Raw genomic sequence first — 24,217 nt, 5'->3', positions numbered from 1 at the left:
AGCTTAAAGTTTTTAGCCCAGCAGATGACTGTGGTCCCTACATGGCTCACACTCCCCTGACCAGGTCTTCTTCCGTTATCTGTCCCTGGAGCAGGCCTGACCAGGTAAACTTGTCCAAAGCGTTCTCTGTCCATATTGTTGGACTGCTCCAGGTGTTCAAGGCCTTGGGGATCCCTGGGGCAGAAGCTGCATCTAGCTAACCAGCTATACCTTTCCTGGACCAGGCTTGTTAAGGGAAGGATGCCCAGCTCCTGTGTCAGCACATGAACCTGACCCACATTCTTCTCAGTGTTCTGAGAGTGGGGACTCCTCCTCTGCTCAAGTTCAGACCACACATCTCAGCTTGAGACCCCTGTGAGGTGTGTTCGAATCCTGAGGTGTTGGGACTGGGCATGTGGTTTTGTCCTCTGGCCCCTCAGGGTTGAGTGCCAGCTGTGCTGGGGGGCCAAATTTCTCCCAGATTTGCTAGTCAAACACTCAGCCAGGACAGTGGAGATTTTGCTGTGGGCACTCCTGCAGGAGTGACCAGGTAGGCAATCTTGGTTGAGGGGCCAGTGGACAAGGGGGTGCATGGATCAGATGTGCCCTAGTCCTGTGGGACAGGCAGCCTTGTTATCTCCCAGCCTGGCAGTAGCAGGGGCAGCAGACACCAGACCAAGATAGAGAGCCTTGGGGGATGGGCTCCTATGGTTGCGTTTTATTGCAGGGGCTCTGCACACTATGAAACCTTCTCAGTTCTGCACAGGCTTGAGCTTTGACTCTGCCTGATCTCTGAGCAGTTCCCCCTTCCAATTCAAATGTCTGTGGGGATCATGGGATCTCTTGTAGCTAGCATCCCAGAGGTCCATGGTGGGAATGTGGTGCCGTGGAGTTCCTTCCTCACTCCTTCCGTAGGATCTGTTTAGGACCAGGAGCTGGTCCTGGTGCTCAGCATCTCCATGCAACCTTCCCAGTTTCCTCCCTCTTAAATTGCAGTGTCTGCGTTGTCTGTCTATTGACTTTCAGTGTTTTCTCTCAAAAGATCTGTTTAAGTGTGATGGTTTACTCAATATTTTGGTGGTGAGGTGGTTCGCAGCTGCATCTAGTCTACCATCTTAGTTTCTCCTCAAACCTTTTTTGTAAAGGGCAAGCTAGTAAATATTTTAGGCTTTCTTGGCCATAAAGGAAATTTTATTGCAAGTCCTTTTGTAGAATGAAAATAATCATCAACAATATTTAAAATGAACAGGCATAGCTATGTTTCAATAAAACTATACTCACAAAACAGGTATGGGCTGGATTTGACCCAAGGGCTATAGTTTGCTAGCCTCTTCTTCTTAGACATTGTTTAGAAAATACTGAAATCTGATTGCAGTCCATCTAATTATAGGTATAGAGTGACTAAATTGTAAACTTTCCAAGCCACTGCAACTAGGGAGTATGCTTAATGTCATTCCAAAAGTGTAAATATATCCATGTCTCTGCTCAGTTGTGCAATCTGATTCCTGACCTATAGTGTTTGCAGTCAACTGTAAAGGGGAAAGAATCTGGGTCAGAACAGAGGTCTTTCCTTTTTTTGTATTTTTAAATTTATATATCATAGTTGTACATATTTTGGGTGCATGTGATATTTTGATACATACAGACAACGCATAATGATCAAATTAGGGTAATTGGGATATTCATCACCTCAAACATTTATCTTTTCTTTGTGTTTAGAACATTGCAATTCTAGAACAGAGATATTTCTTGGCCGTATTCCACCAAGGATTTTCACTGATTTTTTAATGAAGAGGGAAAGGAAAAGGAGATACCTAACAGATATAAAAATTCACATGTAAATGTATATTAGCACATATACTTGTGCTTGAATTAATATACAGTAAAAATTCCCTACATATTACATATACTTTTATTTCATTTGTGTAAACTTTTCTAGAGCTAGTTCTTCTCTTTGAATATAAATCTATAATGTACTTATTATATGTAATTTGACTTATTTGTGAATATAGACACTGTTAATCAGTATAAATAATTTGAATTATAGGAATTTTGCTACTCAATTTTTGGTGTGCAGTGTTTTAGTGTAAATACATCCAGAGATACAAAGTTCTGAACTCAGAAGCTACTGATGGGAGGATGGGTGTGGTGCCTCACACCTGTAATCCCAGCACTTTGGGAGGCCGAGGGGGGCAGATCACCTGAGGTCAGGAGTTCCAGACCAGCCTGGCCAACATGGTGAAACCCCATCTCTACTAAAAGTACAAAAATTAGATGGGCATGGTGGTGCATGCCTGTAATCCCAGTTACTTGGGAGGCTGGGGCAGAAGAATTGCTTGAACCCAGGAAGTGGAGGTTACATTGAGCCAAGATCACACCACTGCACTCCAGCCTGGGTGACAGAATGAAGCTCTGTCTCAAAAAAAAAAAATAGTCATTTAAAACAGTATATATGTTTTAATTACAGATCATAAAAGATGAGTAATAGTGGTAGAGAAAATGCTCCCTGAAGCTCAGATACACCCTTGGTAAATAGGATGCCAATTTGAATATTTAGAATAAATATTAAGATAAATAGATAGGCTATTATTTCCTAAGAATTTCTAAAACTTTTGGCTCTCATTTTTGTCCAAGGAAACACATGGTGCAGGCTATATATGGTCTGGGTTTATTTAGTGAGCTAAGGAATCAGGGGGGAATTTGTAATTTCTATTTTTGGGACTCATTATCTTAACTTAAGCACCTTCCTTGACATACTGAAAGGATTTTGCAAAATATGGGCCATTAATAACTACCATGGAAAAGAGGATTTGTAATCAAATCAATGTATCATTCTTTTGATACTATTTCCCTTGGTTTGAGACTCACCATGTTCATGAATATATTAAGGGTTTTAAGAAGTCTGGAAGTTAAGAAATACTTTCATGCTTAGCCAAGGTTTCTTTCAAACTTTTTGGATGATGAAGTAGTTTTTTTCCCCCTATAGAATAGAATACTTATATACTGAAGTGCTAGTGCTGCAAGGAAGAAAAAAAAAAAACCCTTTGGAAACAGACTTTTTTTGTTGTTTGTTTGTTTTGTTTTGTTTTGTTTTTTTGAGATGGAGTCTTGCTCTGTCACCCAGGCTGGAGTGCAGTGGCTTGATCTTGGCTCACTGCAACCTCTGCCTCCTAGGTTCGAGCGATTCCTCCTGCCTCAGCTTCCCAAGTAGCTGGGACTACAGGTGCCCGCCACCACACCCATCTAATTTTTGTGCTTTTAGTAGAGACAGGGTTTCACCACGTTGGCCAGGCTGGTCTCGAACTCCTGACTTCAAGTGATCCGCCCACCTTGGCCTCCCAAAGTGCTGGGATTACAGGCGTGAGCCACCACACCTGGCCAGAAGCAGCTGTTTTAATCCATAATTTATTGTCCTGTTGTTTTTCATAACTTCCTTTTCTTGTTTCTGACATTTCCAATCAAGAGAGCTGTATTTTTTTCTATCATTTCTAATAGATTTCTGGAATTGGTTGTCTTTCTGAATAACTTGGAGAGATAAATTTATTCTTCTCTATATGTTTACTCTTCCTTAGTTGAAAACATTATAGAAAAGTCATATTTTGTGTTTTTATCAGCAATATTAAAAAGTGTTTTGACAGATAAATTTATTCCAATAAGAATATTGATTAGTAGTGACTTAGCTGAGTACTGTATAGTACTTTTTATGTCTATAGTTTTAAAATTTATACAAATAAACTGTGATAATATTCTCATTACTAAAAAATAAAATAACTAAGACATTTTTAGAATAAATATAAATTTTCCACTCACTAAAGATAATCTGTTATCAGTTTGCATTCTTTGGGGCCTTATAAAATGCATTTAAAATATTTACTTTATGGCTTTTGAGTTTTATGATGTATGTAGAAATGTTTCCCTCTTCCTATGGTTTTAAGTAAAATAATCATATACTTTATCCTTAAACAAGGTTATCAGAAAGTCTGGAAACACAGGTAAATATGCATAATAAATGGATTATTGATATTGTATTATAATGGATGTTTCATGACATTGCATGATATGTTCAATGTGTTGTCACTCTTTAGTGCCACATAGTTCAATGCATTATAAAGTTGCAACTAATGTGTTTCATTGACATTATATTTCCATCAGTCCCTGAACATGCATGTGTGATGTGCTGATTTGTGTCTCTGATTTTCCTGAATAAACCTATCCCTTTGGCATATCTCAGAAGATATTATCAAAGCAGTTCAGTTTGTCTATCATCTGTCTATCTCCACACTTTATGATTGTGTTGTACTTTTGTAGAAAAACTTTTTAAGACTTTTTTTCTGTAATCCACGCACAATTCAATTTTGTACATAATGTGAAGATAGAATCTGCATTTACTTTTTTTTTTTTCCAAATGGTCAGTTGTTTTTATACCTTTTATGGAGCATTCCACATAGAATCTATTTACAGGTAGAAGATAAAGGTTTATTAATCATCCACAAAGAGAAGAAAGTTGAAGTTGTGAAGGCAGATGAGATCTTGGGGAAGAGAGTAGATACAAATAAGGACCAAACACGTATCTTGAACCTTAGGACATATTTGTCTTTAGAGAAAGGGAGCAAGAAAAGGAGTCATGCATGAAGTAGACAGAAAATTCAGGGGAGTTTCAAGATGAGGTCAGGGCAGCAGTAACTAGTGGAGAAGAAAGAATTTGTTGTGAAATGGGTGAAACAAAACATTTGATACATCCCTTATACAGTTAATTGAATTCCGTGGTACAGTATGGTATAACTGGATTTTAGATTATCTACAATATATTCCATTGTTTCTGTCTGTGGACACAGATAATTTTGAGTTAACTGTAGACATAGTCTGTCTCTGGGTAATAGAGTCAAATTTTCTAAACAACAGATTTTAAAATGTTATTTTATTAAATTTTTATTTTTATGATGCAGTCAAAAATATTTTCAATGAAAACCAAGTGAACATACTATGATACAATGTCTATAAAAGGGCTTTCAATCTAAACAATCTATAAACATAAAAGATGTGATGTGTATATGTAACTCAGTTAAAGTATGTGGCATATTTGGCCAGGCCTCTTAGGATCACCATGTTTGTCAGCACCACAATAGGCGATACAAGACATTTTAAGCTTGCTAATTCTGTTTTTGTAAGCTAGTATTTCTATCATCTCTTTGTGCCTCACTTTTTCCTGCTTCTCTCTTCAAAAAGAGATAGAGACGTAGTGAATGTATCCAGGTTTAGTTTGGACATACCGTTTGATCAGCCTGTAGCCATGCCTCAAAGGTGATTATCACTGTATAAATACATAGCAACACAGCACCACACTAGCCTTTACCAGCTGCCCTGGAAAGCAGCCAGTGTGCAAACAGTGCCATGTGTGCCTCTTTGCCTGGTTGCACACTGGCTGAGGATGGATGCTCAGGACTCTGGAGCAGCTGCTTGGTGATAAGATGGGTGAAAAAAACCTCCACAGAGGCATTCACCGAGAAGCCCATCCGGAAATGTTGACATGACACCCAGGGGCTGCCATTAGTGATGAATGAGGGGTGTTGTCAGTGAGCTGACATGGCACATGGCATGTGACGGGGTGGCTCATTTTGATTCAAGGTATTGAGCAGCCTGTGAGGCTAGGAAAATCAGCAACAGTGACAGGCCCTGCCTTGGTATGTGCAGTCAGAAAGCTGGGTTTGACCAGTGAAACTCTCTGTTTGGAGCAGGTTGCAGTTTCTTTAAAAGCTACATCCATAAATGAGGAAAGCAGAATTGCCAGAATCATTAACATCATATGTGAAAGAAAATGATGCACATCCATAAATCATACTAATCAATGCCAGTTAATAGTGATGTGCTGGATGCTGTGTTCCGTAAAAGTCTTCCAGTCATTCTCTATCTGCTTATCCTGATTTATTTTCCTCATTGCTTCATTTTTGCCAGATATTTTATTATATGTGTTTATTTTGTTATAGGTTATTTCCTTCCAATCCCATCCCAAATGGAGGTTGCAGCAGGGTAGAGTTTTTGGACAATCTTGTTTACTGCTGCATCCCCAGTGTCAAGAAGGCTGCCTGAACATAGAAAGTCTTCAATATATATTTGCTGAAATAAAAGTAAAAATTCAGTCTGGTAAGTTTCTAGTGATCTCTCAGAATATTAGGGAGGTTCAAAACATCAATTTAGATAAGAAATATGTTCATTTAATGAAATGTTTTTCTTCAAAGAGATTCCTAAATAGCTGTTTTATAGTATTCAAAATGTGTAATGCTGTATTTTTTTGTAAATAGCTGTTTCTGATGGATTTATTAGTTAGCATTACAAACTTCGCCAGTCAACTAATTGTTTTTCATGCACATTGCCAAATAACAGGTTTTGACTAGATTTTCCTTTTCCCCTTTCCATTCCTCCCATCTTGCCCTGAAGAGAATGTTGTCACAACACAAAAACTTTATTCCAACTCACTGTCAATACATTGATTGTAGGAAAAAAAATTATGTACTTGTTTCATAGATTAGGTTTGTTTGTATGCAAAAGGAGAGTGGAGAAATTTGAGTTTTTCTAGGTAGAGAAAACAAAATGTTTGTAATTACGTTGTGGGGAGTGATTGAGCTCTTGGCTTGGAGGTGTCCAAGCAGAGATGGTCTAAATTGTGTTAGGGAAAGTGAGGCTGAGGGCTGCTTCCAAGCCAGCCTGGGATTCAGTATTATCTGGGGCACACTAATAAACAGGCAAACACCACCCCCAGCCCCGCAACAGAATGAAACAAAATAAAACAAAAACAGATTACAAACCCCTGTATTAGGGTCTTCAGAGAAACAAAACCAGTAGGATGCATAGAGATATACACAAAAGAGATGTATTATGAGGGATTAGCTCACTCAATGATGGAAGCTGAGAAATCCCACAACCTTTTGTCTGCAAGCTGGACCCAGGAAAGCCTGTGGTATAGTTCCAGTCCGAGCCCCGAAACCTGAGAGCCAGGGGAGCCAGTGATGTAGGTCCTGGTCTGAGTCTGAAGGCCCAAAAACCAGGGGCTTTGATGTCACAGGGCAGGAGTAGATGGATGATGTCTTCACTGAAGAAAAGAGAGCAAATCTGTCCTTCCTCTGCCATTTTCTTCTATTTGGACCCTCCATGGGTTGGATGATGCCCACTGCATTGGTGAGGGTGATCTTTACTCAGTCTACCAATGCAAATGTAATCTCTTCAAGAAACACCCTTGCAGACACACCTAGAAATACTGTTTTACCAGCTAACTGGGTATCCTTTAACCTAGTTAAGTTGACATAAAATTAACCATCACAGCCCCTAGAGGTTCTTCTAATTCAGTTATGTCTGGGGAAGAAGCACTGGACTCAATATAAAAACAGAAACAATGCACCAGGCGATTTTAATGAACATAAATATTAGGAACCACATAAGCTGGGATTGAAATTTCAGGTAGAAAGTTGGACTGGATCAGGTTTTCTCAGATATTACCTGAGAGCACTTGTAACCATTTAGTCAAAGCTTTTTGCACTGAGAATTCGAATTCAGATTCTAGAGTTTGAACTCAATTATTTTTTGTCAGTTTATAATTTTTAGACATTTTAAACATGCTTTCAGATGATTTTTATTTTCAGGCACATTTGGGAAACACTCATCTAGAAGACCTCGAGGTCTCATCCAGCCCACATATTCTATAATTATTCAAATGCCTCTCTACCTTATCTGTGTGTTGACTAGGCTTTAAGTGTTTTATTTTTGCATTGGGAATCATATAAGTAAATTCATATATAGTGGTTTATAAATTGGGCAGTTTATGCTCAGCTTAACAACACATGCACAAGAAAAGAGGGCTCATTTCATGCAAACTTCACCGTAGAATGACATGCCCTATGGATCACTGGGCCCAGTAACGGTTTTCACTTATTTGCAAGCACGCTGTATAGTCTTGCAGTCTGTGGTGTTCAAAGGTTAAATTCAACAGCTAGATAAATGATGACAGTAACAAAGTTTAAATAACAAAAAGCTTGATGCATGAAAACCAAAAACCAATCTTGAATTCCTATAAAGCTACCAGTGCCAATTCCTCATTATATTTTTAACTACATCATGATTCTGCAACTTGAAATACCCTGCAAGTTGAAAAACAAATAGCCAGGACTTAGGGTAGTATTTCTAAATGACTATTCTGCTTTGAATTTTCATCTTATTTCTTTTTTACTATATATTTCAATTGAATTAAATAGAGAATTTTAATTAAGAAAAGTGTTCAGAGCCCTATTTTCTTCTCAGATGCTGTACTCTGTGGTCTAGTAAGTACTTTAATGAGTTGTAACACTGCAAGATGTTTCCAGTTCCTTTACATCCTGAACTCCATTAGCATATATTTCTGCCAGACTTTCAAAATGGATTCCATTTCCCAAAATTGATATATTTAAAAAAAGAGCTTAGTGAAAAAACTTATTCCTATTCTAGTCTTTTAAAGTGCCTAATTTAAGGTATAAGCCATTCTTAACTCCAAGTAGGATTGAGCTAATTTTCTTCCTAGCTGTTTTACATAGGTATTCATACTGTGGAAGTCTTTGGGTAACTATTTAATCTTAATTTTAGGTCTCTAGATACTGCAGGTAATAACTACAGAAATATATAATTTTGGAATTTGAAAGGAAGTTCAATATAATTTATTATAACACTGAAATTTCACAAGTGAGCAATGAGATTCTGAAGGACTGAGTGACGTGTTCAAGGCCATTTAATTTATGGAAAGCCAATGCTAGTGCTTGGGAATTCAGAAGCCAGGTTCTAAGTTCTCCTCAACCCTCATCGACTTTTAAGTGCCCTTATCCTAGCAAGACTTGTTGGTCCTGGATAATTTGTTTAAGGTATTCAAAAAGATCATTTTTGGTGATTTTGAAAATAAGATAATTCTGCTTATATACTATGTGCAAATATATTTTTATGTACACATATTATAATAATAATATCCATAACACATATTACATGTGGTAATAAAATGCCTCTGCACATCCAGACTTAAAGATGATTTGCTTAAAGAAATATGTGGCTTTTGTGGTCTCTCTTTTCTTCTTTCCTCCTCTCCTCCTCCCCAACCTTTATGTCTCAGTTTAGGCATCCCTTCCTTAGGGAGCGTTTATGTGAATACTCTGAGTATGTTCAGGAATGATTATTATATGTTCTTATAGCACCTTTTAACCTTTCATCACAGCATTTCTAACAATTGTGATTTTATGTTTGTTTGTGTGATTACTTAATTAATGTCTACCTCTCCCCCACTCTACACTGACTCTAACCATGTGAGGACTGAGGCACCTGCTGTTGCTCATGGCTACAACCTCAACTTCCCCCCCAGCCCCCCAGTACCTGGTTCAGTGCCTGGAACATAGTACATTCTTAGCATTTTTTTTTGAGTGAAATGAAAATTGAGTGAAATATCCTCTCTCCTAAAATTGATGTGTTCTTGAAGTTACTGTTCTGTTTATTTCCTTCCTTCTAGTATCACATTTATGAAAATTAATTTTGATTAGTGGTTCTTACTCCATCAACTACAAATAGGCTTTATTCCAAGCACTTCCAAGTGGCTGCTGGCTGGGGTTCTCCTTAGTGGGGTGTTCCAGGGCATGCTGATCTGCAGGAATATCAAAGCAAATTTCCTGGTGTCCTGGAGCTAAAGAGAGGGAGGGAGGAGACCATGCATGATAGCAAGAGTAAGACACTCTGCAGTCCTCTTAGCAGAAGTTTAGTCAGTGAGTAGAGCTCCAATTGTTCAAGGTGGATCCTCAACATCCATCCCAGTCTGGAGGGGCATTGCCCAACACCTAAAGGTGAAAGTTCCTGAGGCTCTTCTTACATACTTATAAAATGAAAATATCCACCATTTAGTCTTAGCCGTAGGGAGATGGCCATTTCCTTAGAGTGTTGAGGACACTCAATGGACACTACTGAGATAAGTCACAGTGACCCCTTGAGCAGAGTGAGTCAGATGAGGTCCTGGAAGAGGAGTGAAGAAGTCAGCCTGATAACTAGGTGGTTGGAGAAAGGTAGAGAGATGGGCTACCTGTGCCCATGACACCTAATCAAGGGTTGGCAGAAGATGTCACTGTACACATTTAGTCTCAAACCAAAGTGCAGAGGAAGATCAGCAAAGAGCATCCCCAGAAAGATCAGGTGTCCCCTCTTGCTTGTGGGATTGAGACCTCTGCCTGACCAGATCCACATGCATGCTCCCTGGAATGCTAGAAAGAAATGCCACCTGTATGCTGTAGGCGACTTTGCCTGTGAAATACCATCTTTTGTAGCCCTGCCCTGAGTGTACATGTGCTTTGAATAAAGAACTAAGTTTCTACATTTCAGGGGAAGATTATTAGAGAAGGGCAGCCATCTTTGCAAGGGATTACAGAGATACTGAGAAGGTGAACCATGGACTGGAGGACGGGTACAATCCTTCTTTGTTCTGAGGCTGTGAAAGTCAGGCCTGGATTTCACAGCTTAAGATGTACAAGGTGTCCCTGCTATGTGGGGATGGTGAGAAATCCTGAGACAGATTCTGAACACAAGGTGGCTTCAAGGGTCCAGGGGCAGCTGTATCAGGAAGTAAATTAGTTATACGCTAATCTGTATTGGGCTTTTTGTTATCTGTGCATGCTCTGTGGAGCCTTGTGAGAGGTTGATATGAGCTGTGCTGTGGGGAAGTAAAGGAGGTTCCCATCTCCTGAGTGCTAATGGGGGTGGGTAGCCCTGCCCCTTTTCAAAGGTGGTGACAACAGCCCATCCCTATGGAGGCCTTCAGAGCCTAGCAGAGTAGTCCCCAGAGGAGGCTCACTGATGGTGTTGGCATCATAAGACTTGACCAGAAAGCTCGAGAACTCACTCCTGCACATGCACAAAAGCACTGTGAGATAACGGGACAGATTAGCTCCAGAAATTGGGCATTATGTGTATATTAAATAGGAATGTGACATCCTTGGTGCGCACTGGTTGGTGAAGGACAGACATCTACTGACATGTGAAAAGACTAGAGTTTAAGCCATATGAATTAATTTGTCTGACACATAGTGTCAAGAGCACTGTGTCACAATTCATTCCAAATGGTAGCTAACATTAATTAAGCACCTACTATCTGCCAGGCACTACTCTAATGGCTTCATGTGTATCGCCTCAGTCAATCCTCATAGCCATCTTACTAGTTCGGTGCTTTTATTATCCCTGCTCTGCTGATGGCATTCTCTTGGTCAAGGATGTAAGTAAGTGAATCAGAATATGAATCCAGTGAGTCTGACTTCAGCACAGTGCCCTTAGTCATTACCTATAATTCCTCTCTACATCAGTCTGCCTCCATAGACAAAGCTCAGTTTTGGCTTGAGTGTTCATATAAATAGCTCACTCAACAACAGACTACCTCCTGGTCATGTTGGCATTATCTGGCACACATGGAAGAGTTCTCATCCTAAGCCAATCACCACTCACTGTACTAATTGCTCAGCAACTATAAGCACAGCACAGCAAAGGCCAACACTCACATGTGTGTGGCATGCAGGCACACACCTTGCCCACTCTTTTTTTTTTCCAAACACTTTTAAAATCCTTCTTACTCATCATGTGTTCTTATCTCAATTTTTTTTCTTCAGCCATGTTTATTTCCTAATGGCACCCTTCTCTCTTGGAGTTTTTTTAGAGCTTTGCAAAATTTTATCAGTCTGCTTTATGGACTCCCTGCTCTCCTCCTCTTCCTGCCTTTCAAATGTTGGTGTCCCAGGATTCTGTTCTCCTTCTACCTCTCTTGTCACTGTCTATGCTGTCTATGCTATCTTTGGGTAATCTCAATCACTTTCATGGCTTTGCCTATGAACAAGTTGCTCACAAATCCCATTTTTCTCTCTGTTCTCACATCTTTTTCCTACCCTGGGGTTTATTGAGACTTAACTAAAAAAGATGTATGACATGTGGTCTTTTCTCTCAATGACATTTAAACTTAATTGCTATTGATTCCATATATGAATGAGAAATAAATACTATCTTTAGGTATGTATTTAACTATTCAAAGTATTTTGATTTTTAGTTGACTTAACATAACAATAAACATTTTGTAGTGTATTCAGATCATAACTATGTTAGATATTTAATGTGCACCTTTAATTTTTATTGGTAATAAAAACCATAATACTAAAATAAGAATTAAAAGCCACTTCAGGGAATATAGAAATCTTAATTAATAATATTTTACTTACATTTAATAGAATGATTCTTTGAAATTACCTTGTCTCAAAAATTAAAACATAAAATGAACTTACAGATATCCAGTTTTTAATGCACTTTTATATATAGAAAATATACACAAAACTTAGTCATATGCATAGACATAAACTTTGTTTTGCTTATGTGGAAGACATATTTTCTCAGTAGCCATCTGTAAGTATAGTAACCAATAGAAAATGGAAAATTGTAGTTTCTTTAGTCTGTAGATACATCCACAGGAATTTTTCCTTTTTAAAATATAAAAATGAGTTAATTCTCTCAGAATTTTCTGTTGCTAGTTAATTCCTCTGAAGCTATGTTGGCAGAGAAAAAGTGACTCCGGAATTGTTCAGATAATTCCGGAAAATATTTTAGTTCCACTCGAAGTATTTAGTTTAAACCATGCAAGTTTGGGCTTCACCTTTTCTCAAAGGTTTAAACTTAATTTTATTTGAATTTAATTTTTAAAAGTTGTCTATAGGCGATTTGGGCATAGAAGACAATTTAAGGACAAGCCCAGGAAATAAGTCATCTGTTGTGACTCAGCATCATCATCTGCTGAAACCGTAAGATGACATATGCTGAAACATTCAAGTCACAATCTGTGACATCTTTACAAATTTCAATAAATAAGACAGAGCAAAATATTGTGCAAATATGCAAAATAACACTGTGTCGGCTCCTTGTAATCAGTGAGGCAACTCTGTTTTAACTCCAGGTGTCTCCATAATCACAGCCATGGCCTTGTAAACAGGTAGTGATGCGGACAGAGCCATCTGTGCTGCGCTGCAGACCCACACAGAGGTCTACTGGAAGGGAGGAGCCCGAGGCGAGTCCACTGAATGTGGGCACTTCCCAGTAAGTACTCCAGCTGACACCCAGTTTCTCAATATTTGAAGAGAAGCTTTTGGAAATTAGGGGGCATGTGTGTGTTTGCGTGTGTGTGTGTTCCTGGAGGGGTATGTAGGGGTGCTCTTGCTAAAAGAAACCAGGCTTTCAAGGCTATTTTCTCACTATGAATTGAACAAATATGATTTAACACTCAAATCTGAATAATTTTTTTCCAAGGTATTATGGGTTCTTCCACGAAAGCAGTAAAAACCCTTGATTCACTGCATGAGAGAGCTGTAGGGAATTAAAAATACACGGTTATATTAGTTATAAAATATTGTAGCCATTACACATGTATCTAGTTTAATGTTACCTTCTGAGCAGATTTTCTTTTTGTGATACTCAACTCTCACAACATTTTTACTTAAATGTTTCAGTGTGATTTTTGCTGTGGTTTGGACTGCAGGGTTTGGACCAGAGCATTAAATGTGGAACAACAGTATTTTCTTTTTTCTTTTTCTTTTTATTTTATTATTATTATACTTTAAGTTTTAGGGTACATGTGCACATTGTGCAGGTTAGTTACATATGTATACATGTGCTGTGCTGGTGTGCTGCACCCATTAACTCGTCATTTAGCATTAGGGATGTCTCCTAATGCTATCCCTCCCCTCTTCCCACACCCCACAACAGTCCCCAGAGTGTGATGTTCCCCTTCCTGTGTCCATGTGTTCTCATTGTTCAATTCCCACCTATGAGTGACAACATGTGGTGTTTAGTTTTTTGTCCTTGCGATAGTTTACTGAGAATGATGATTTCCAATTTCATCCATGTCCCTACAAAGGACATGAACTCATCATTTTTTATGGCTGCATAGTATTCCATGGTGTATATGTGCCACATTTTCTTAATCCAATCTATCATTGTTGGACATTTGGGTTAGGTCCAAGTCTTTGCTATTGTGAATAGTGCCGCAGTAAACATACGTGTGCATGTGTCTTTATAGCAGCATGATTTATAGTCCTTTGGGTATATACCCAGTAACGGGATGGCTGGGTCAAATGGTATTTCTAGTTCTAGATCCCTGAGGAATCGCCACACTGACTTCCACAATGGTTGAACTAGTTTACAGTCCCACCAACAGTGTAAAACTGTTCCTGTTTCTCCACATCCTCTCCAGCACCTGTTGTCTCCTGACTTTTTAATGATTGCCATTCTAACTGGTGTGAGATGGTATCTCGTTGTGGTTTTGATTTGCATTTCTCTGATGGCCAGTGATGGTGAGCATTTTTTCATGTGTTTTTTGGCTGCATAAATGTCTTCTTTTGAGAAGTGTCTGTTCATGTCCTTTGCCCACTTTTTGAAGGGGTTGTTTGTTTTTTTCTTGTAAATTTGTTTGAGTTCATTGTAGATTCTGGATATTAGCCCTTTGTCAGGTGAGTAGGTTGCGAAAATGTTCTCCCATTTTGTAGGTTGCCTGTTCACTCTGATGGTAGTTTCTTTTGCTGAGCAGAAGCTCTTTAGTTTAATTAGATCCCATTTGTCCATTTTGGCTTTTGTTGCCATTGCTTTTGGGGTTTTAGACATGAAGTCCTTGCCCACGCCTATGTCCTGAATGGTAATGCCTAGGTTTTCTTCTAGGGTTTTTATGGTTTTAGGTCTAATGTTTAAGTCTTTAAGCCATCTTGAATTAATTTTTGTATAAGGTGTAAGGAAGGGATCCAGTTTCAACTTCGTACATATGGCTAGCCAGTTTTCCCAGCACCATTTATTAAATAGGGAATCCTTTCCTCATTGCTTGTTTTTCTCAGGTTTGTCAAAGATCAGATAGTTGTAGATATGCGGCATTATTTCTGAGGGCTCTGTTCTGTTCCATTGATCTATATCTCTGTTTTGGTACCAGTACCATGCTGTTTTGTTTACTGTAGCCTGTAGTATAGTTTGAAGTCAGGTAGCGTGATGCCTCCAGCTTTGTTCTTTTGGCTTAGGATTGACTTGGCGATGTGGGCTCTTTTTTGGTTCTATATGAACTTTAAAGTAGGTTTTTCCAATTCTGTGAAGAAAGTCATTGGTAGCTTGATGGGGATGGCATTGAATCTATAAGTTACCTTGGGCAGTATGGCCATTTTCACGATATTGATTCTTCCTACCCATGAGCATGGAATGTTCTTTCATTTGTTTGTATCCTCTTTTATTTCATTGAGCAGTGGTTTGTAGTTCTCCTTGAAGAGGTCCTTCACGTCCCTTGTAAGTTGGATTCCTAGCAATTTTATTCTCTTTGAAGCAATTGTGAATGGGAGTTCACTCATGATTTGGCTCTCTGTTTGTCTGTTATTGGTGTATAAGAATGATTGTGATTTTTACCAAAAACAAAAACCACATGATTATCTCAATAGATGCAGAAAAGGCCTTTGACAAAATTCAACAACGCTTCATGCTAAAAACTCTCAATAAATTAGGTATTGATGGGACATATCTCAGAATAATAAGAGCTATCTATGACAAACCCACAGCCAATATCATACTGAATGGGCAAAAACTGGAAGCATTCCCTTTGAAAACTGGCACAAGACAGGGATGCCCTCTCTCACCACTCCTATTCAACATAGTGTTGGAAGTTCTGGCCAGGGCAATTAGGCAGGAGAAGGAAATAAAGGGTATTCAATTAGGAAAAGAGGAAGTCAAATTGTCTCTGTTTGCAGATGACATGATTGTACATCTAGAAAACCCCATTGTCTCAGCCCAAAATCTCCTTAAGCTGATAAGCAACCTCAGCAAAGTCTCAGGATACAAAATCAAGGAACAACAGTATTTTCTGCCCTTAGCAGTGGTAGCATTGGAATTAAGAAAGGAGAAAATGATCCCAGGGAAAACAAGTGAGATGTGAGGTCCAGCTGCCATCCTTACATGAGGAACCTCTTCCAATGCCATCCTTGAACATTCTAGAATTTATTTTTTTATGAAAGATGTGATTTGTATCCAGAAAAGTTTAATGCCTGGCAATATTTTTACTATTTTTCAGACTGCCAATATTCTACCTATGTGTTACACTGACTGTGGAATGCAAAATATGCATGATTACACAGAATATTGTTATAGAGGAGATTTCATGTGAAGGTTGATCTGTCATGTAGGCATTCTACAGGATTTTAAATCATATTATATTGTTAAAGATGACATTTCATTTTGGCTTGTGCTTGGCAATCTGTTAAAAGTCAAACATTAATGAGAACTTGCAGAAAATTGTAGCCTGTTATGTTTGCAGAAGTGTGTTTTTCTGATAATGAAAGGATATTTGGAGACCTTCGTGTAAGCTGTCTCCAAATGCCATAGCTTGTGTCTTTGTAACATTTCGTGATATTCTTCCCTACCCATCCCTTCTCTTGCCTCATTTCCACTTGACACCACTACTGACCAAATAGGGTAGGGAAAGGTTTTTGTTTTCTCTTTTTTACTTTGACCCAAACATAGACACACGTGGTTTTCCTGAGTGCACCATAAAGAAATTGTGAAAGAGCATTCAGATAAGAATTTCCTATGGCCTAAGGCAGTAACTTGCTGTATAAGCTATGGCTTCCTCATGTTCAGCTTGGCTTCTGAGTTTCCTTGCCTCACTGTGACACTAGTGATTAACTTAAGGAGTTTTACATTAGTCCTCCCATCTAATGAGAAAATGAGAGAGAACCCATTGAAAGGGGTGACAGCGAACCGGGACAGCTTCTGAAACACATAAATACATACTAGGACACACCACTCCTAATTTTGTTTTACTTGCATCTTTAAGACCAGTAGACAAGAAAAGGGACAAGAAAGAACATTGAGAAGAAGAGAGGTCAACATGAGAAAGAATAAGAGTGTCAAAGAGGGATGCAGGAGAGCAATGATCAAGGAAGTGAGCCAGCAAGTATAGGTGTGATGATGGAAAGAAGTCTATATGACTTTCTAGAACTTTAATAAAGTTTCCATGTTTGCAAATTTTGTTATTCCCTATTGTACTACATGAGTCTGTACCTGTAGATCAATTAGAACTACCATGTAGAGAGACCCAATAAATGTAAATTCTGGGCCTTCCCCAGATTGTTCATATTTAATGTCACGAGATTTTTCCTTCCAGAAGATTCTCATATTTCTGTTCCATTTGTGTCTGCTCTTACCTGCTTCCAAATGCCACCTTATTTTCTGTTTTATTTCCCATGCTCATCTATTGGACCTGACCAGTGGTGCAGCTTCTTCACTTCTGAAAGTTGGTTTGCCTCTACCAGTTTGCCTTTGTCCTTTGGTGGTAGTTACTTCTGTTTGTGTTAATAACCAAGACAAGACAATGGTTATTATTATGGATACCATAGGTAGTCTACATGGTGTGTTTCGCAGCTTTGATTTGTTAGTGGGTAAACTCAAGTACCTTCTTAATCTCTCTAAACAAACTAGACAGGGCTCTATCAGGAAAAGATGGCACATTCAAATTGAGTAATTTGAGGAATGTACTGGTTTGCAATGATGGTCTGAATTCTTTATTCTTCCTCCACTTGTCCCCTCTGATATGTGATTTTGCAGAGTTTTTTCATTACAGGCAGGGTGACCTGCCATATCTCCTTACCTCCTTTTTCTTTTGGCACTGGGCTCAACCTTGTGATTTGCTTTGGCCAAGGCAGTATTAGCAGAATGGATACAAGTAGAATCCTATGCATTGGGGCTTCCTTTCTTATGCCTCTTGCAACACCGTGGGAGCATGCCCAGGATAACCTCCTGAAGGTCAAGAAGCACGGAGAACAGAGCTGAGGCTGTCTGAGATCAGCCATCAGACAGCTGTCAGACATACACACAACCCTGACCAAGGATTCACTAGTTGATAGCCTAGCTGATACCTGAGATTCAAGCAATAAGTGCTTATGGTTGAATGCTACTGAAGTGTTGCAAATTTTGTTACACAGTATTGTGACTATAACTTGAGAATTTAATTTGGGGACTTTTTACAAAGGTATGTGGTTAGAGTTTAGGAAAACCAGAGTTTAGAAGTAGTAATGGCAAGGTACATTTACCATGGCTATGCCTGAAGGGGCAAGGGTAAAAAATGGTTACTAGAACTTAGAAAAAGAGAAATGTACATGGAGACCAGAGCTGTGAATTTGAAGTAAGAGAGGCAGGCAGCCTGTGATTACATTGCAGGGAGCTGGGGGAATAAATACCCTGATCTCACTCTCTCCACTGGACCCAGTGATAAATTGTTAGAGGAACTGGAGCCAAGACTGCATAAATATCCTTTCTGGGCAGTGGTGGTGTTTCAGTGACTGAGCTTAGCAGCAGATCAGAACCAGGCTCTAATAAGCCTCAGAAGGCCTGAGTATTTTCCTTTTCTTAGTGCATAGTCGACCTAGTAAAATGGCCACAGATATGTGTCTGGAAAGGACTGGGAAACACTCCTCCTTGTCTTGTATGGACCTTCCCCGAGGGTCCAAGCCTCTCCCTCAGTCAAGGCAGCACTTCTGAGTTTGTGAATTTGATTGCCCTGGTTGGATAAAAGACCATAAATCCCTACTCCGTTGATTTAAATTTCTGATGACCATATCCAGAATATTTCTGCAAACACACGTACAGATATACCTTAATTTACAGCCCATCTGCTTCATATCTAGGGATTCCATGAGCAATTTACCATCCCCACAAATCCCTCTGGGCCAAAACAGTCTGGCCCCATTTTTCCCAGAGGGTTATTGTTTAATTGCATGCACCTTATTGCTTGTGGTTAGTGCAAATGCCTTGTCTCTACCCCTCTGGGATCCCATTATTTCCACTGAAATCAGGAAGACAAATTTTAATGCAGCATCGTTATCTCTGGCCAATACAGTTTTTCAGCCTCTTGGTGTTGTTCTCATCAATGCCTTGGTAAAGGAAGCATTCTCTGGGTAGCCCATGGATTATGGTTAGAAGTGGTGAGCAAATTACTTATAACAGATTCATTCCAATCTCTCATTTGCCATTAGAGCTTCTTCCTCTCTAGTACTCAAAATGTTCCAGCATTTTGACCTCAGTGATGCAGAGCAGGGGTCAGCAAACTTTCTCAGTAAAAGGCTAGACAGTGAATATCTTAGGCTATGAGGACCATATAGTCTCTGTCTCAGCTGCTCAGCTCTGTCATTTGAGTTCACAAGTAATCTCAGATAATATGGAAATAAATGAATTTAGTTTCATTCGTATGAAGCTTTATTTACAAATACAGATGGTGAACAGGATTTGGCTCATGGGCCATAGTTTGCTGACCTCTAACGTAGATAATTTTCGAGATTCAGCTTCAATTGACCAACTTATCAGACTATTAACACCACTGCCATGTTTATGACATAGTACATTTTTCTTGAATCCTGGGTGAACAGACTCTTGACAATTAATTCAGCTGGGTCAAACCTTATGCCTCATTCTTCTTGATCTGATACTCAGAATCTACATCCATTCATGTTTCCCTGCCCTGCCATACACATTGCATCTTTTTCAGTGTGTAGACTGTATCCTTTGGAGCTGTTCTTGTATTAGTCTGTCTGGATTATGCAAGGGCTCTACCTCTTGTTAGGGTACAGAATCCATGAGAGAATTTGGGGTGAATCATGAGAATAGGCATTAGTTTGTGAGGGGGCAACTATTTCTGGCCAGTCATTGAAAACCTTTTATTCAGGAATCAGCTAGGTTCCTCTGTTTCTGTTTCACCATCTTTTCTCTCTCTCTCTTTCTCTCTCTCAGTATGTATATTTGTATTTATATGGGCTTATTTTCCTTATGTGTGTTTAAACATTTTTTCCTGAACCATTTGTAAGTTGAGACTTTGTACCTTTTTATCCCTCAATAATTCAGCATGTATTCCTAAAAAAGAACATTATCTTTATTGTCAAGATCAGGAAACTTACTATTGATATAATGCTATTATCTAATCTACCGGCTATTCAGATTTCATCAGTTTTCCTATCCAGTATGTGTTATGGCTTTTCCCTGGTTCAGGATCTATTCTAGGAGCATGGAAGTTCTTATGTCTCTTTAGTTTCAATCTATCTAGGACATTTCCACAGCCTGCATTTTTCTTGACTTTGATGATTTTATTATTATTTTGTAGAATAATTGAGTTAACTAAATTATTTTTTAGAATGACATTTAATTGGGGTTATCTGATGTTTTCTAATTTGTTTTTGTATTTAGTTATTTTTGGTAAGAAAACAACTGAAGAGATGCCATCTACTTCTTAGGCCATTGTACCCAGAGCTGCATGATATCAGATTGTTCTAATACTGGTGATGTCAGGATTCTCCACTGTAAATCTACTTTTTTGGTAATTAATCAATATCTGTAAAAAGATATTATGTGAATACATAAAAATATTGTTTCATAGCAAGATTTTACTTCCAGTTTTAGCATCCACTGATGATTTTTACAGTCCATCTTTCTTTCTGCATTTATTAGTTGTTATTATACTATAAGGGAGAGATTTTCCTTTTATTTATTTACTCATATCAGAATGAAATCATGTATTATTTTATTCAGTGGATTATAATCCATTACCATTATTAGTTTGCTGCTCAGATTGTCCTAGATTTGGCCAATGGGCTTTTCTTTAGGCTGGCTCCTGTGACTTTTTGATGTGGTCCTTTGATTCTGTCAACATTTCCTGACTTTCTGGGTAAACAAGATGTTCCAAGCTCATCTTGTACTTTCTCTAAAGCAGCCCTGAAATCAGCCATTTCTGCAGAGGATCTCTGGATCGTTTTAGTAAGAAATGGCATTTAGAAAGCAAAAACTTGGCATGAGATTTCTCATTGCTACTATGAGTCATTGTTTTTAGGCCTTCTCAGTAGGCAGAGACAGGGTAAATGTGTGCACTATATATGTATAAATCTGTGAGGTCTTTAATATCTTAGACACAGATCAATTAGAGCAAATCCTTCTCTATTCTGAGGATAACCCTTAAGATGGTGGTCCTGGAGACTCAGGTAACTGAGTGCTAGTTCTTGGATACTTTATAGTTCTTGGAGGATCCCTTATTAATCATATAGACACACAAAGTTTATTTGACTTAAGTAACCAACAAATATTAATTGAGAAATTACTATGTCCTTCCCTCCCAGATTTAGTATTATTTAAAAAAAATCACCTAGTGATTTCAGAATGCACAGAGACGTACTGTAGGAAACACATTCACACAATTCCAAGAATATGGTTGAAGTTACCAGAGTAAATAATTTATATCGTATCTTTGAAGAAAACTCTCAAGCATAATATGAGATATAAAAGTTTGGCTTAAAAATCAAAAGAATTTGTTAAAATTATTTCTGCTTCTAGTTTTAGTTCTTGATTTAAAAAACAATGCACTATAACATTTTGTTGTCTGATTATATAACTATATAAAAATTAATTCTTCCAGTGGACATTTGAGTTGTTTCTGTTTTTTTTTATTGTGAACAATATTACTATGAATATTGGTCTATGTATTTCCTGGAGTTTCTCTAAGAATTATAAATACATTACAAATACTTTTATGCCAAGTTGTGGTCTAAGATTCATGTTTCAATTTACATCTTTACTAGAAATATATGTATAAGAATCCTCATTGCTAGTCTTACCATTTCTTATGAAACTTATTAAAAATATTTTTTGCCAATATGACAGTTGTGCAGTGTTATTTCTTAGTGACTTTAGTTTATATTTCTTGCAGAGATGTTTTCATTTTTTCTGCCTGGAGTCTTTGGGTTGCTCTTGATAGGGGGCCACCTGAACCCCTTTGTACAGCCAAGTGGGACTGTAGTTCAGCTCTTCCACCTTGAGGAGACTAAAATAGGTTCCTGACCCATTGCTATTACCAATTTACATTGGCTCCAACATAACATTGGCATTGTGTTTGCTTGTTGCTGACATTTCTAACCTTATTTTACTGTTTTCCAATAGATTTTTCTTTCTTTCTTGTACCCAGCAGTGAATTATAGTATTTCTGGGACCTAGTTGTATTAATACCATAGTAGAAGAGAGCTCAGAGAATCTCTCCCTTTTAGGTCCAGAAGCCGAAGTCAATGATGTACGTACTGTTTTTTTTTTAAAGCAATATCCATAAAGATCACAAAACATTCCTTTCTCCAAGCCTAAACTTTCACAATCTGTTTTGAATTTCATCCCTCTTCCAATTCAGAGCTGCATCTACTCACATTGAATGCCAGGAGAGTAGAGTAAATATTGTCAAGGTTGAGAAAGGAAATTTGCTTATTTTAACCTTTGCTATTTGCTCAAAAGCTTCTTGTGTCTTGCAATCCTTGGCATTCAAGATTGAAAGATTCAGGCTTTCCCAGTCACCAGTTTAATTATTCCTTCCTCAAGGCCAACAGTTAAAAGCCCTGAATCACATGATTCCAAAAGAGTAGGAAGTAGAGATAATTGGAATGGGGAATGGAGTGAGCTCTGTTTATTGTGTAATGAAATTCAGACTGGGGTATACCCTGGTGCATACTAGGGGACTCTAGAATATTTTTCCATTTATGTTGAAGCCATGTTCACAAATGGAGCCCCAACAGATTCTTTTGGCCTCATGTTCTAACCCTGACCCCATGCACTCAGTGCTGTTAACCACATGGGATGCTTTATACTTCACCTGATACAGAAGACATTTTCCACCTGTTTTGCTGGTGCTGTGCCCTTTGCATGGACTGCTCTCCTGCTCTTCTCTTCCTGGTAAATGCTAAACCTTTCTTTCTGGTTCAGGTTAGATTTTCTCCTTTTTGATCTTTTTCTTGCTTCCATGGCACTTTTAATACATTGAATTATGTCCCCTTGGTTTGAAAGTACATTTCAAAGCCTGGGAGTGTGACTCTCCCAGAGCCTTACACAGAACTGAGTATGAAATAAGTGTTAATAGTTGATAGGTGTTAAACGAATAGCTGAAAAAATGAAGAAATAAATGGCCAGATTATTGCAGGGGATTTTGAGGCCAGATTGAAGCCCTCCAGAATGATCAGAAGAGTGAGAACTATCCTTAAAATCTGCTTAATGAAACCTATGGAATGAGGAAAAGATGCTTCTCTGGTTCTTCACAAGCCATAAGTCCAATTGGACAGTGTCATTCTTTGGCACCCCAGAAAGTGAATGGATGGGAACTAAGTGTGTGGCTGCTTCAATTTGGTGTGTAGGTGGACATTCAGCAAGCTCTCGAGGCTCTGCCAGGGTACTCTCCCAGGAAACATCAACAACACCTAAGAGTGTGGAGTATGTTACAGATAGAGCTACAGGACCTCATGTTCCCTGCTGGTGGATGAGAAGAGTGACCTGCAACCCTTCTAACCTGTTTCTGGTAAGGCCTTGGCCTTTACATTCTAACATTTTTCTTTGAGTTAGCTCTGACTCAGATTTCAGAAGCAGACTGATGACCACTTTGTGTCTGAGATTCTGGCCAACATGTTTTAGACATTAGGGTGTCATCAACTTTCTATCAAATTTCTGTGACCCAGAACCTCCATGCCCCTTTCATATGCTCACAATGGAGCTTTCCCCACTCCTCTTTCAGCAATTCTTTGAGTGATGCCGTCTTTTTTTTTTTTTCTCCACAGAATTTCGCTCTGTCGCCAGGCTGGAGTGGACTGGCGTGATCTCGGCTCACTGCAACCTCAGCCTCCCAGGTTCAAGCAATTCTCCTGCCTCAGCCTCCTGAGTAGCTGGGATTACAGGGCCTCACCACCATGCCCAGCTAATTTTTTTGTATTTTTAGTAGAGATGGGGTTTCACCATTTTTGCTAGGCTGACCTCAGGTGATCCGCTCTCCTCAGCCTCCCAAAATGCTGGGATTACAGATGTGAGCCACCGCACCTGGCTGTGTGATGCCATCTTAACCCTGTGGGGCGAAACTGGGGTCTGGGAATAAGTCCTAGAGGTGTGACCCAGCTTCTTGTTTCTCTCACTGCTAGGCTTTTTCTGAGTCTTTTGATAATGAGGACAAAGATATGGAGCAGAAGTGATTAAATGATTAGAACTCGCCTTGGCTTCCAGACACTGAAAAGCTGCTTTTGACTTCTCCATGTGTAAACTACCTGCATGCCTGTGCTGGATAAGCCTTTGTATGGAAATTGATAACTGAGTTCCTCATCAAAGATTTTTTTCTTGCTAGTTTGACATGTTCTTAGCTGTAGTCTTAAATGTTCTC

General features: G+C 38.8%; 1 long non-coding RNA gene across 1 annotated transcript in view; it reads left to right on the top strand.

Annotated features, from left to right (window-relative positions):
- Positions 1-24,217, top strand: part of USP38-DT (USP38 divergent transcript) — a 396,420-nt gene that overhangs the window by 238,653 nt on the left and 133,550 nt on the right. Inside the window, exons 2-3 of the long non-coding RNA NR_185979.1 lie at positions 5,964-6,120; positions 12,947-13,086. This is a non-coding gene — a long non-coding RNA (USP38 divergent transcript). The remainder of the gene's footprint in view (positions 1-5,963; positions 6,121-12,946; positions 13,087-24,217) is intronic.

This window comes from Homo sapiens, chromosome 4, assembly GCF_000001405.40.
Source record: "Homo sapiens chromosome 4, GRCh38.p14 Primary Assembly".
NCBI classification, from domain to species: domain Eukaryota; kingdom Metazoa; phylum Chordata; class Mammalia; order Primates; family Hominidae; genus Homo; species Homo sapiens.
The sequence above is the reverse complement of the archived record's forward strand: the minus strand, read 5'-3'. Positions and strand labels throughout refer to the sequence as shown.